General features: G+C 43.6%; 1 protein-coding gene across 25 annotated transcripts in view, besides 3 other annotated features; it reads right to left on the reverse strand.

The window, feature by feature from the left end:
• The window catches only part of ACACA (acetyl-CoA carboxylase alpha), a 321,845-nt gene that overhangs the window by 13,337 nt on the left and 295,532 nt on the right, over positions 1-12,976 (reverse strand). The window lies entirely within an intron of this gene.
• Positions 5,724-6,328: an enhancer, noted in NCBI's record as "H3K27ac hESC enhancer chr17:35460987-35461591 (GRCh37/hg19 assembly coordinates)". NCBI's record gives its function as "activates a minimal SCP1, AML or CMV promoter by ChIP-STARR-seq in primed H9 embryonic stem cells {active_cell/tissue: H9 hESC(primed)}" and the evidence as "EXISTENCE:reporter gene assay evidence [ECO:0000049][PMID:30033119]".
• Positions 8,751-9,355: an enhancer, noted in NCBI's record as "H3K27ac-H3K4me1 hESC enhancer chr17:35464014-35464618 (GRCh37/hg19 assembly coordinates)". NCBI's record gives its function as "activates a minimal SCP1, AML or CMV promoter by ChIP-STARR-seq in primed H9 embryonic stem cells {active_cell/tissue: H9 hESC(primed)}" and the evidence as "EXISTENCE:reporter gene assay evidence [ECO:0000049][PMID:30033119]".
• Positions 9,356-9,960: an enhancer, noted in NCBI's record as "H3K27ac-H3K4me1 hESC enhancer chr17:35464619-35465223 (GRCh37/hg19 assembly coordinates)". NCBI's record gives its function as "activates a minimal SCP1, AML or CMV promoter by ChIP-STARR-seq in primed H9 embryonic stem cells {active_cell/tissue: H9 hESC(primed)}" and the evidence as "EXISTENCE:reporter gene assay evidence [ECO:0000049][PMID:30033119]".

Raw genomic sequence — 12,976 nt, forward strand, 5'->3', positions numbered from 1 at the left:
CTGAGGCCAGTACTTGTACACTGACACCATGCCCATCCCTGCTGACCAGCATCAAAGCAGCTGGGCTATTCCACACGTGGGATGTGGTGAGAGCACCCCTAAACTCCGAGCACAAACTAGTAGCTCCTGTTTCCGTGTACATGCGAGTTATCTGCCAAACTTGGCAAGGACCTGAATAACTCCTAAAGTTACAAGCCATAGTACTTCATGGCTTCTAATCTCAGGTTTATATACTCTTAACCTCTAATTAGTAGAACTCAATCTAATTAGAGCTAGATCCTCACATCTTGTGTCAGCTCAGTGGGTTAGCCTGTGCTCTCCCGCCTGGGCTGCTACTGCCAGAGCCAGTCCCTGACCAGACAAAGACATTCTACTTCTTAGGCTAAAGGAGAAGGAGGATGTAAAAAGAGAAAGGCAGTTGGCAAACCTCATTTGGATCACTGCGCACGGTACCCTGACTCAACAGACAGGAGACTTTGGAACCCCTTATACCAAGGAGGGACCCCTCCCCCAATCAATAGTGTCCCAGTAGAGGTGTTGCTATGGTGTGCCTTTCTTCCTAATTACTCTCAGAATGGGATCTGCAATCAATACTGAAAATTTAGCTGCCTGCCTAGTAAGGAGGAGTAAGCCTAGCTGAAGGAGCAATAGGTGACAGCCCCTGGTGTTAGGGACACCCTGAAGTGCTTTGTCACCAAAGCTGACAAATAAATACATGAGCACAGGTGATAGGATGCAGAAGAGGAAGGTCTATTTCAAGCATGCCTGTCTGGGAACAGGCCTTGTTTTTTACACCACAATGAATCATATGCCATAAAAACAGCCTTGGGCTGCTGACTGAGCCGTATTATACATAAACACAGGTTAACAGAGGAGGGATGTAACTATAGTACTTAAGTTTCATTTTTATTAGTTTTTTGGATGCCCAACTCTACCTCTTTTTTTAAGCTCATCACCATTTTAAAACTGTGATGAAGGTGCCACTGATCTGCTGCTTTAGGCCCCGGCGCCTCAGTAGTGTTCCTTCCAAAACACCTGAACAGCATGAACGCACCGGGCCCCACACTAAGGGATGACACAAAGGCCCATTGCATTCTAGTGTAGATCTGCCTGGAGGGCTGATGGCGGGAGGGCTGAGGGATGGAGGGCTGATGGGAGGAGGGCTGATGGGAGGAGGGCTGATAGCAGGAGGGCTGATGGGAGGAGGGCTGATGGCGGGAGGGCTGATGGCAGGAGGGCTGATGGCGGGAGGGCTGATGGCAGGAGGGCTGATGGCGGGAGGGCTGATGGCAGGAGGGCTGATGGAGGGAGGGCTGATGGGAGGAGGGCTGATGGAGGGAGGGCTGATGGCAAGAGGGCTGATGGGAGGAGGGCTGAGGGATGGAGGGCTGGCTGGTGTCTTCGGAGATGAGACATTCTCAGAACACCCTTGTTAGGGAAGCAAATATTTTCCCTTCTCCACAGAAAGAAACCAAGATTCCCTGGAGAAATAGCTGATTCTAGGGATGAGGTAGGGAAAACATCAGATGAACCTGGGGTATATTGTGACAAAAAAACAAGGAAGCCCTCAAAAAACGATTGAGACATGTTAGAAAAATGCAGGAGCCAGTTTTGAATGTGTTCCCACTGCCCAATTCTGGGACAATGAACACTAAAATAAATAATGATATTTATTAACAGACAGAATATTTGTGGAATGAAACTAGAATCTACCAATTCACCCTCATATAAGTAATTAAATGAGGGAGAAGGGAAAGGGAACACTCTCTCTTCCAGCAGAAGAACAATAAGTGTAGCGGAAATGATGGAATTAGAAAAATCACCGTTTTACAAGCATCACTGTAAATTACTCTTCCAAGAATCATCAATGGATGTCAAAGCCAGTGGGTGAAAGTTTGATAAGAAACAGAATATTCACAAGGTCTTAAAATATTCCTTACAAATCACTTATTAATTACAAAGGGGAAAATGGTAACTTTATCGTGGATTAACCTAGTGAACAACACCTTAAGCAAGTAATTAAATTATCACCAAGAGGACAGACTGATACCATGACTCCTGATGATGTACTGAGAAGGACAGAACATGACTTCCGCAACATTCCTGCCCAAAAAGCAGAATCGAAATCTAACCACAAACCCAAACTGAGGAAACATGCTACAAAAAAAGTGGCTCACTCTTCAAAAATGTGAAAAACATGAAAAACAAAGGTCAAAGAATCAGTCCAGATTAAAAGAGACCAAAAATACTTGACAATGAATTTCAATGTATGCTCATTAGATCAGATCTCAGACCGCCCCTCAAAAAAAAAAAAAAAAACTAAAAAGGACATTGAGACAATTGGTAAAATTTTAATATGAATCATGGATTAGACAGTAGTATCAATGTTTACAGTTCTTGATTTTGATAAATGTATTGTGGTTATGTAGGAGAAAGTCTGTGTTCTTAGAAATACACACTAATATTTATGAATAAAGAAGCATTAGGGCCAGGCGGGGTGGCTCACACCTGTAATCCCAGCACTTTGGGAGGCTGAGGTAGGTGGGTTACTTGAGGCCAGGAGTTTGAGACCAGCCTGGCCAACATGGCAAGACCTTGTCTCTACTAAAAATACAAAAATTAGCCAGGCATGGTGGCACATGCTTGCCATCCCAGCTACTCAGGAGGCTGAGGCGTGAGAATTGCTTGAACCCGGGAACTGGAGTTTGCAGTGAGTTAAGATGGCGCCACTGCACTCCAGCCTGAGTGACTGTCTCAGAAAAAAAAAAAAAAAAAAAGGCAAGAGGTCCACAGATTACTTTCAAATGGCTCAAAGAAAATGCATATGTGTGTGGAGCAAGAGAGAATAAATACATGTACACATGTGAATATGCAGAAATAATAAAGCATTGGGATATTAACAATAGGTGAATTTGAGAAAAAAGCATTGTATTATTCTTGTAACTTTTTTGTGAAATTGGAAAGTTTTAAAAATTAGGCAAGCTGGAAAAGAAAACTTATTCCTGGCTATCCAATGCATACAATCAATAATCAAAGCTAATATTTATAGGGTACTGGGCACCATTCTAAGTGCTTTATATCTATTAATTTATTATCACAACAACCTTAGGAGTCTGGTATTCTTATTATTCCCATTTTACAGGTGAGGAGACTGAGGCACTGAGAATTTATGGACTTACCAAGGTCACAAAGCTAGCAAGTGACAGAGCCAAGACTCAAATGCAGCAGTTTGGGTCCCAAAGCTTTTGAACACTGTTAGCTGTCTCTTCTCGCTTACTTGGGCAGAAGACACGTGCTTCAGTAGTAGTGTCCCTTTAATTTCTGAGAGGCTAAGTGATGATGGTGGGCTCCTGGCTGATAAAGGTTCTATCTTAGTCCCAATTCCATAACTAAGACCAGGACAATGTCTCCAATAGTTCCCATTCAGATGCAATTTCCTAGGCAGGCCTAAGATTTAAGAGTTGTGTCTCTTGTTACTGTGAGTTCAAGAACTAATACAATAATAGGTAAAGTCACAGCCCTGCAGGGAGCAAAGGGATGGCAAGACCACTGACATGGCTAAACGCACATATACATGGACCATATCTAACACACCATTTATTGAGCATTTACCACTCACTGCACTCAAATCTTTCAGGATCACATATCATAATCACCAAGCACAATACAGATCTACACACCTACATCTGGTCAGCTGTTAACACTGCTGCCAAGCTGAATACTTCAACGTTACTGCGTGCTTTCCCAGTTGCTTCAGGTACATGATCTCCAATCCTTAGGACAACTCAACTTTATGCCAGGGTGTCTATTTTACAGGTAAGAAAACCACAGCTCTGAAATGTAAAGGGACTTCCCCAATGGCATCCAGCTCTTTTTTTTTTTTTTTTTTTTTTTGAGACGGAGTCTTGCTCTGTCGCCCAGGCTGGAGTGCAGTGGCACGATCTCGGCTCACTGCAACCTCTGCCCCCTGAGTTCAAGCAATTCTTCTGCCTCAGACTCCCAAGTAGCTGGGATTACAGGTGCCCGTCACCAAGCCTGACTGATTTTTGAATTTTTCATAGAGATTTGGTTTTACCATGTTGGCCAGACTGGTCTCAAACTGACCTCAGGTGATCTGCCTGCCTCGGCCTCCAAAAGTGCTGGGATTACAGGTGTGAGCCACCGCACCTGGCTGCATCCAGCTCTTAAGTGGCAAAGTCAGGATTTACACTTGGGTCTGGCTCTCTCCAAAGCCTGTGTTCTTCCACATTAAATGGTATTGAAGGCTGGCAAGCAGATATCCTGCAGTGGCCACTATAGGGAAACCAGCTGGAGAGTTGGTTTGTTGTTCGCAAGGAGTTAAGAGCAAGGCTCAGCACTGGCTGCAGAAGAGGGAGCAGCTACGGGCTGAGGACAGTGTTTCAGAAACCAGGCTTTGGCTTCGCCAAGTTGGAAGGACGGAGGATGCTGGCTTCTGGGCTAACAAAGGTCTTGCCCTCTCAATCAAGCTATTCTAGAGCTTTGAAAGAATAACAAAATAAATGCCTGTAATGCTCTGGCCCTCCTGAGACTAGGAAGATTGCAGGGCATTCCTCCAAAGCCTACCTTGTTTGATTCCTTCAGTAATGCCTCTGATTATGGTTCAAGACCCACCTCAAAAAAGCATCAAAACAAGGAAAAGACTGAAGTGGAGAATATATGTGTTTTTAAATGCCCATGTGAAGGTCAAGGATTTGTGTGCTTTGTTTTAGGGGAAAAAAGATTTTTAAAATTTTATTTTCTAAAAATAAAAGGCTGCTATTAAGCCAGTTATATCATGTGTTGCACACCGAGGGCCCCTCTCTCCTTGTACAGCAAAGCAGCCAGCCCCGGTAATGATTTAGGGGAGATTAACAAATATGTCAATGTCTATTTTCTGCTTAATTTAAAAGTGGCGTCTATAAAGATTTTTGACTTCTGAACCCTGTTCTCCTGAAAGAAAGAAGGTAAGAATGAGGAGGGGGATAAAGAGTGATTATCCTATCATTGATCGTTTGTCAGGAGCATTTCTTATTCACTGGACTATTGTAAAAAGCTAAGCTCTCGATCAATGCTGTAAGCTCCCTGTACAATTAAATATCTTGAAATGGTTTTCTTTCTTTTCTAGCCAGATTGCAGGGCCTCAGGGATTTTAGGAAAGCAAGTTGGTGTGTACACGTGTGTGAGTGTGTTTAAGAATATGCTACAGAGAGAAAAGTCATTCTTTTCTAGAATTCTACATTAGGAAATGGCTGAGTGGGAGTAAAAAGGTAGGTGCTCCCATCCTTTCCTATCCAAAATAAAAAGTCCCTATGCAAGTTGGGAGGACTGCCTGAAGCCAGGATTTCAAGATCAGCCTGGACAACAAAGCAAGACCCTGTCTCTACAAACACACAAACACACACACACACACACACACACACACAAAATGCCAAGTGTGGTAGCTCACACCTGTAATCTCAGAACTTTGGGAAGCCAAGGTGGGAGGATGGCTTGAGCCCAGGGGTTCAATACCAGCCTGGGCAACAGAGCGAGACCCTGTCTTTCCTCCTGCATGCCCCCCAAAATTAGCCAGGCATGGTGAAGCGTGCCTGTAGTCCCAGAGATACTCTGGTGGCTGAGGCAGGAGGATCGCTGGAGCCCAGGAGTTCAAGCTGCGGTGAACTATGATTGTGCTGCTGCACTCCAGCCTAGGTCAGGAGTGTCCAATCTTTTGGCTTCCTTGGGCCACATTGGAAGAAGAAGAATTATCTTGGGCCACACATAAAATACACTAACGATAGCCAATGAGCTGGAAAAGAAATTGTAAAAAAAATCTCGTAATGTTTTAAGAAAGTTTACAAATTTGTGTTGGGCCACATGTGGCCTGCAGGCCACGGTTGGACAAGTTTGGCTTAGGTGAAAGAGGGTGACCTTGTCTCTTAAAAAATAAGTCCCCATGAAATCCTAAAAATGCACACTTTTAATTAAAAAATTTAAAGAGTTAAACAGAGACGAAATATCACTGGTCAAATAAGAAGAGCTAACACTATTGAGATGTTACTGTGTGCTGGTACTGTTAAAGTACTTTTTATCTCATTTAATCCTTACAACAATCCTAAAAGATGAGGAAACTGAGGCACAAAAAAGTAACTCACCCAAGGCCACAAAGCTAGGCAACAGTGGAGTTGTGATTTTGGACTAGGTAATCTGGTTTAAGAGCCCATGCTCCTTAAACAAAGCAGTTCAAATTGACTTGAAAGTATCCGCAGCACAGTGGCCTATCAGGTGTTCCCTGGAGCCAGGATACAAAGAAAAGCCACATTTCTCCTCCATGGTATCAAAGGTGAAGAGAGGCTGGACACGGTGGGTCATGCCTGTAATATCAGCACTTTGAGAGGCCAAGGTGGGAAGGACTGCGGAGGCCAGGAGTTTGAGACCAGCCCAGGCAACACAGGGAAATTCTGTCTCTACAAATATTTTAAAATTAGCGGAATGTGGTGGCGCATGCCTTGTAGTCCTAGCTACTTGGGACTGAGGTGGGAGAATTGCTTGAGCCTGACAGGTCGAGGTGTGGTGAGCTGTGATCATGACACTGCACTCCAGGCTGGCAGACAGAGTGAGAATCTGTCTCTGACCGAAAAAAAAAAAAAAAAAAAAAAGCTAAAGAGAAACTCCCAGAGGAAACGGCTGATTTCTGCAGCAGGAGGCAATTTTTTGCCCAGCCATATCACTTAAATAGGCCAGGAGAAGGTCAGCCCTAGTCTGTGTATGAACAAACTACATCCTAAAAGTAGGATTTGGGGGAGGTGACATCTTCAAAGCTTGGAATAAAAATCAGACTGGTAGACTAAAAATTCTCTGCTCAGCCAAAGGCTCTAGGCGACCTTGTAGAAATCTTTTTCCTTTTCTGAGTTGAGTTCCTCATTTATGTAACAACAATCCCAGTCTGGCAAACAGGGAAAATGTTTTATAAAAGAATGTGATATTAAAGTGTTTTTAAAAACATTCTCAACTTTTAAAAAAGTTATACTTGGTGGCAGGCACCTGTAATCTCAGCTACTTGGGAGGCTGAGGCAGGAGAATCGCTTGAACTCGGGAGGCAGAGGTTGCAGTGAGCCAAAATCACGCCACTGCACTCCAGCCCAGGCGACAGTGCGAGGCTCCATCTCAAAAACAAAAACAAAACCAAAACAGTTATACTAAGAAGCCTATGTAAATTTAAATCCAATTTTAACTTTGATGGGCCCTTCTTCCTTTACTTAAGAAAGCAATTTGCGCCAGGCACGGTGGCTCATGCCTGTAATCCCAACACTTTAGGAGGCCGAGGCGGGCGGATCACCTGAGGTCGGGAGTTCAAGACCATCCTGGCCAACATAAAGAAACCCCATCTCTGCTAAAAATACAAAATTAGTCGGGCATGGTGGTGCATGCCTATAATCCTAGCTACTCAGGAGGCTGAGGTAGGAGAACTGCTTGAACCCGGGAGGCAGAGGTTGCAGTGAGCCGTGATCGTGCCATTGCACTCCAGCCTGGGCAACAAGAGCGAAACTCTGTCTCAAAAAAAAAAAAAAAAGAAAGAAAGAAAGAAAGCAATTTGCTTTGAATGGTTCAATACTTATGATGCTAGAGATAAGAACAAGACCACCCTCCCCAGAAAGCTCCTGAATATCTCAGATGTTAAAACATACTCCCATCCCTCAACCTTGAGACTGAAAAATCAGCATAAAAAAGACTGGAATCTTATTAAGATTCAGAAGTACAAACACAAGCAGTTGTTTAAAAGATCTATGTAATCACATTTTCTATGTTGAAAGAAATTTTTCTATAAACATAGTAAGATAGGTAAAAAAAAAAAATCCTGCAAAACTATTTCTATATCCATAACAGGTGTGCCTTTCTTTACACAAAAGCATTCTTGAAAAACTGCGTAAATCAGATCCTGTTTTAAATGCCTTAAGGGAGCTATTTTATGAGGAACCCTGCAGTGAATCCTTTGGTAAGGCAAATAATCCTTTTGTAATGGGAATAATTTCTCCCAATGTATCTAGCTTTTTTTAAAACCCCATTTTCATATATCTGCTTTTCTTCAAAGGGGGCCATACCTATCTAAATACACTCACATTTGCATATTGATTTTAACAGCAATCCTCTCAGGGGATGTTTAACCCTAAAGTTCCCTGCAACAGTGTTAGTGCTCTACTGTTCATATTTTTAAAAATCATTATATTAATAGAAAACCCAGAGATTTCCAAACAGGAATAAAAAAAAATACTGCTCCCCCATCAGTCCCGTCCCTGTGTTTCCACGCAGACATATCCATATAAAAAAGGTCAGGGAACAGCACAGAATTCTCTGAATTCTTCTGGTAGAAATATGCCTCTGTAGTCTTCATTATTTTCCTTCCCTAATTTGCTCTCCCTATGTCTGGCAGGTCAGGATACGGGGATCTGGTCATTTGGGACCAAGACACATTCTGATGACAGCTTTCTCTTGGGTTCCCTCTAACTAAATGCCTGCCAGGTCCCTCTGGCCATACAGAATTGTGAAACACTGCTTCCTTGGGGGAGGCAAGCCCAGGTGCTTTTATAAATACAATCAGATTAAAGGATCAAACTAAAATGACCCCTTTCTCTTCTCAGAAAATTTTGTCACTATTGCACTAAACTTCACCGAGCCAAATAGCTTCTGAATCAGTGTGAGGGGTAGGTTTTCAGCTACTGCTAACAAAAGAGAGGAGGCAAGATCCCATATCTACCTTCGTGATAGAAAGCCTCGTGTTATTTCTCATCAGCCTCCTTACCGCAAAGGACACAGTGGCCATAGTGTCAGTGAGGACACTCCAAGTTCAACAGGTGAGAGGTGAAAGACCACTCACTAAGGCATGCGTATCGGAACTTCTTTCTTTCCTAGTCTTAACTTTCCAGGCAAAGACATACTTTCTGCCTCAAACAAGCAACTCTGGCTCTTTTCAGCTTTCAGCCTCTCGAAGATGGACATAAGAGTTGGAAAAACACAGCTCAGATACTTTGATCACCTCTGCCAGAAAAGCAGCTTAACCCTTAAGTCCCCTTAGCCCAGGGAACAGTCCTTTTCCTGTCATTCTGGCTGCTAGAGAAGGCTTGGGAGGAAGGCATTCCTGAAGATTTTTACAGAGAAGCGTATCCTCACCTGCCACCACAATGCTCCATATCTGCACCTGGGGCAACCTTGACCCTGAAGGCATGGTGGGTGTGGGCAGGCCTAGAAGGACCAGGCAAGGGCCAGCAGCAGTGCTCACTCAGTCCATGCTGCTGCTCCCTGTGGCAGGCAGTCAGGGCATGTTCTGTGTGGGCGCAGTGCGGTGCTGCATGGCAGGCTGCCCAGCTGCCTGGGAACAGGGCCACAACTAAGAACAAGTTCCCCTAAGCGGCTCCTTTGCCCAGGTGCTCTTCATTTTGAGAGAGAGGGACAGTGGGGAACTTACAATTGCTTCACACTTGGGCTGGACAGTTCTCTCTCCATCTAAATTGATTTGTCATTTCTCTCTGAACACAAGAGGAGGGGAAGGATCCAGGAGAGGACCTCAGGTCACAGCACTCAAGAGGCCAGGCTAGCAAGGCCGTCCCGCTCCACAGCCACTCTCCCTGCTCCTGGCCTTGTGAGGCAGTAGAAGGATGTCAGAGAGAGACAAAAAGGACTTGGAGGGCTGCGGCTCCATTTCCAGAGAAGAAATTTAATTTCCTTAAGGCAACCAAATGGTAGGAAGTAATTCTCCTCCTTGCAATGACTCTACCAAGCCCTGGTTCTGTGAATCAGGGTCAGAACTGATTCAGCAATGCAAGACTCTGGGGCCTGGGCTTTGCTCACTTTTCTTTCTGAGGTAATTCTTCCCTTTACTTCTATTAGGAATCAGTGTAGGCACTATTTACATATTTTCTGTTATAATCACAGACCTGCAAACTAGTAATTCACCATCTTTCCACCCAAACTAACCATGTAAGATGACAAAAGGCCATTTAAAAAAATAAAAATTCTAGAAGAGATGAAGTTAGCTGCTCAGAAGTCAAATATTACTCATTCTTATAAAATACATAGCAATTATGATTTTTTTTTTTTTTAAAGACAGGGATTTGCTCTTCTTGCCCAGGCTGGAGTGCAATGGCGCGATCTCGGCTCACTGCAACCTCCACCTCCCAGGTTCAAGCGATTCTCCTGCCTCAGCCTCCTGAGTAGCTGGGACTACAGGCATGCACCACCATGCCCGGCTAATTTTGTATTTTTAGTAGAGACGGGGTTTCTCCATGTTGGTCAGGCTGGTCTTGAACTCCCAACCTCAGGTGATCTGCCTGCCTCCTCCTCCTAAAGTGCTGGGATTACAGGCGTGAGCCACCGTGCCCGGAGTAATTATGTTTTTGAACACAGTCAATCAGTTGTGCGCTGGTTTGTCTAAGTGATCTGTGAGCACGCTCCCCAGTAAAGAGGCAGATTTGGGGAGAGAACGGCAACACAAGATAACATCCACTCCTACAGGCTTTCTCCTAAATCAGATTTTCTCTGTGGAAATGGCTTTAGATTACAAAAGGAAAGAATCCTTGTTTAATTTAGTTCGGGCTCAGTATTCAGTTGAGGAAAAATCTGAAGAAATCCTGAGAAAAGGAGAACACAGAGAATGAGAATTCCATTCTGGACTCTGATGTACATTTATTTATTTTGTATCTTAGATGATTCACTTTTTTGGCCTCAATTTCCCAGTCTGAAAAATGAGACCATTTTCACCCACTTTGTGAAAAAGAATTTTGGTAGTTTGGTTCTAGGCAAACTAAAAGAGCCAGAATCATTGTGAACCCCAAAGGAACTGGGTTCATAATATGTCCTGTTATATCTAGGCTGACCTGCTTTGTCGCAGAGACAGCTGCCCGTATAGGATATCCCTGAGAGACAGGACTATACTTCTGTTTCTTTCATATTTTCACATGTGGGACTGAGCCACAGAGAATACTGGATACCAAACATGGCCATCTGCTTTTTCTAATGATTAAGACAGAAAGATAATGATGCAATGAAGTAAATGCATGCTCATCTGCTCCTCATATTAGCTAGGCAGAGGTGTGATCTCCACTTTATGGTTGGAAAAAAACTGATGTTCGGAGAAGTTAAATAATTTACAAGACTCGTAGTTCGTTATTCTTATTCCAAGTCCACTGCTCATGTTCCCAAGCTGCCCTAGGCCAGAGCCTGCTTCACATTTAGCAGACTAAGGGTCCTTTTTCAAGTGCCATTTTGGTCAAGGTTAAATAAATATGGTTTTCTCCAATGCGGATAGGAAATTGATAATGAGATGATTTGTAACAAATGATTAAACGGCTATCACTTGGGAGTCTCCTCCCTCTCCCCTTCATGTGCTTCAAAAGTTAAAAGGTGCTGGTTGAAGGTGGGAGCGACATCACTTTCCTTGAAGAGAAAGAAGCTTTATCTCCACACCCCTCACCATCCAGTCCTTCTGCAAAAGGAGAAAGGATCCCTCTCCCTACCACCCAGTTACTCTGAAGGGATGATAACAGCCATTGGGGGGTTAAAAAGAGGCAGTGAACCCCCAGTTAATGAGTAGGAATTCAGCAGGCAGTGTAAGATAAATGGAGCTCTCTCTGCTTCTGCTAGAGTCAGCATGAACTGCGGCCCTGCGGCTTGTTTGTGGCAAATGGAGTGCGCGAAATATCAAAGGGCAGTGATCCAGAAGAAGACCGACTTTGACAAATTTTAAATTGGCCAGAAAGAAAACCAGCAAAAAGAAAAAAAAAAGGGAAAAGAAAAAGGAAGAAAAAAAGGAAAAAGGAAAATGATGCAATTTGCTGTGTCCTGCAATTGCGGCATTGCTGCCTTTGTATGGAATTAGTGGTAAACACAGCGGCAACAATTGGGGGATGCTGGGAGCAATTATGAGCCATCTAAGTGAGATGCTTATCAGTGGCTGAAGCTTTTAGAGCTCTCTCTATGAACAGTTGTAAGTAACTTGCTCTTGAGCTGCAGTTACTTTAATTAAAGTGTACAGGGTTGGTCAGAAGTAATTATTCTGTTTGGAAAAGAAAGAGAAAAAACCCACCTCAATTCTGGGTGGCAATAGATTTTAGAAACAACTCTCATTTCTTGTATGTGTGCATTCCCCATAAAAGGATCAGACTGTGGTGAGTTAGAGTTATTGGTGGCTGTTACCCAGTGGCAAACAATGGGACACAAACAGGGTTTCTTGTAACCCAAGTCACCGTGTTTGGCAGGCAACCTGGCTCAGGGCTCCAAATGCCTGGATGTACAGTCTCCACAGTGTAGGCAAACGGGATTTTTCTGTCTCTGGATGGTGGGGATATACAGTCCACAAATGGTACTTTATTAATTAAATTACCACTTGGAACATAAATGAGCTAGCATCTCTCTTCTCCATTCACTGAGTTTCACTACCTTTTAAAGGCAATCTCTGTTCCTTTAGAAAAAAACAAAAACAAGACAAACCAACTGACAAAAGAACCTCGAGCAATTATCTTTACTAACATAGCAAGGGGCTCAATGGGAGACCTGGGCAGAAAATCAGTGTTTTAAAAGAATCTGAAACTCATTTAGACTCTGGACTCAACACAGGACTCCCATGGTTTAGTCCTATGTTCAAATTGCCAAGTGGCTTCCAAAAGCTCTGAAAACAAATGAGCAACAGAGCAATGGCTGGAAGCATTAAGCACGCCTGCTCTCAGGGCTATTCTGGCTGCAGCTACTGTTTGGAAGCACACAGTGCGCAATCTTTACTTCTATTTCTCTAGCTCAGGAAGACCCCGGAACACCACCTGGGTAAAGACTCCTGCTTTTCTATCCCATCTCTCAGAAATGAAGTGAGCTGTCCAAAGAAACAAGCAGAAACAGGACATATTTAAATCTAGCATATTCTCTGGTGAGGCCTGCCCCCAGCAGCAACTCTAGCTAATCATTCTCTACAAGGACATCTTAGAAAGACGGGCTTTTTGTACTCTAAGGA

Source organism: Homo sapiens, chromosome 17 (assembly GCF_000001405.40).
Source record: "Homo sapiens chromosome 17, GRCh38.p14 Primary Assembly".
Lineage (NCBI taxonomy): Eukaryota > Metazoa > Chordata > Mammalia > Primates > Hominidae > Homo > Homo sapiens.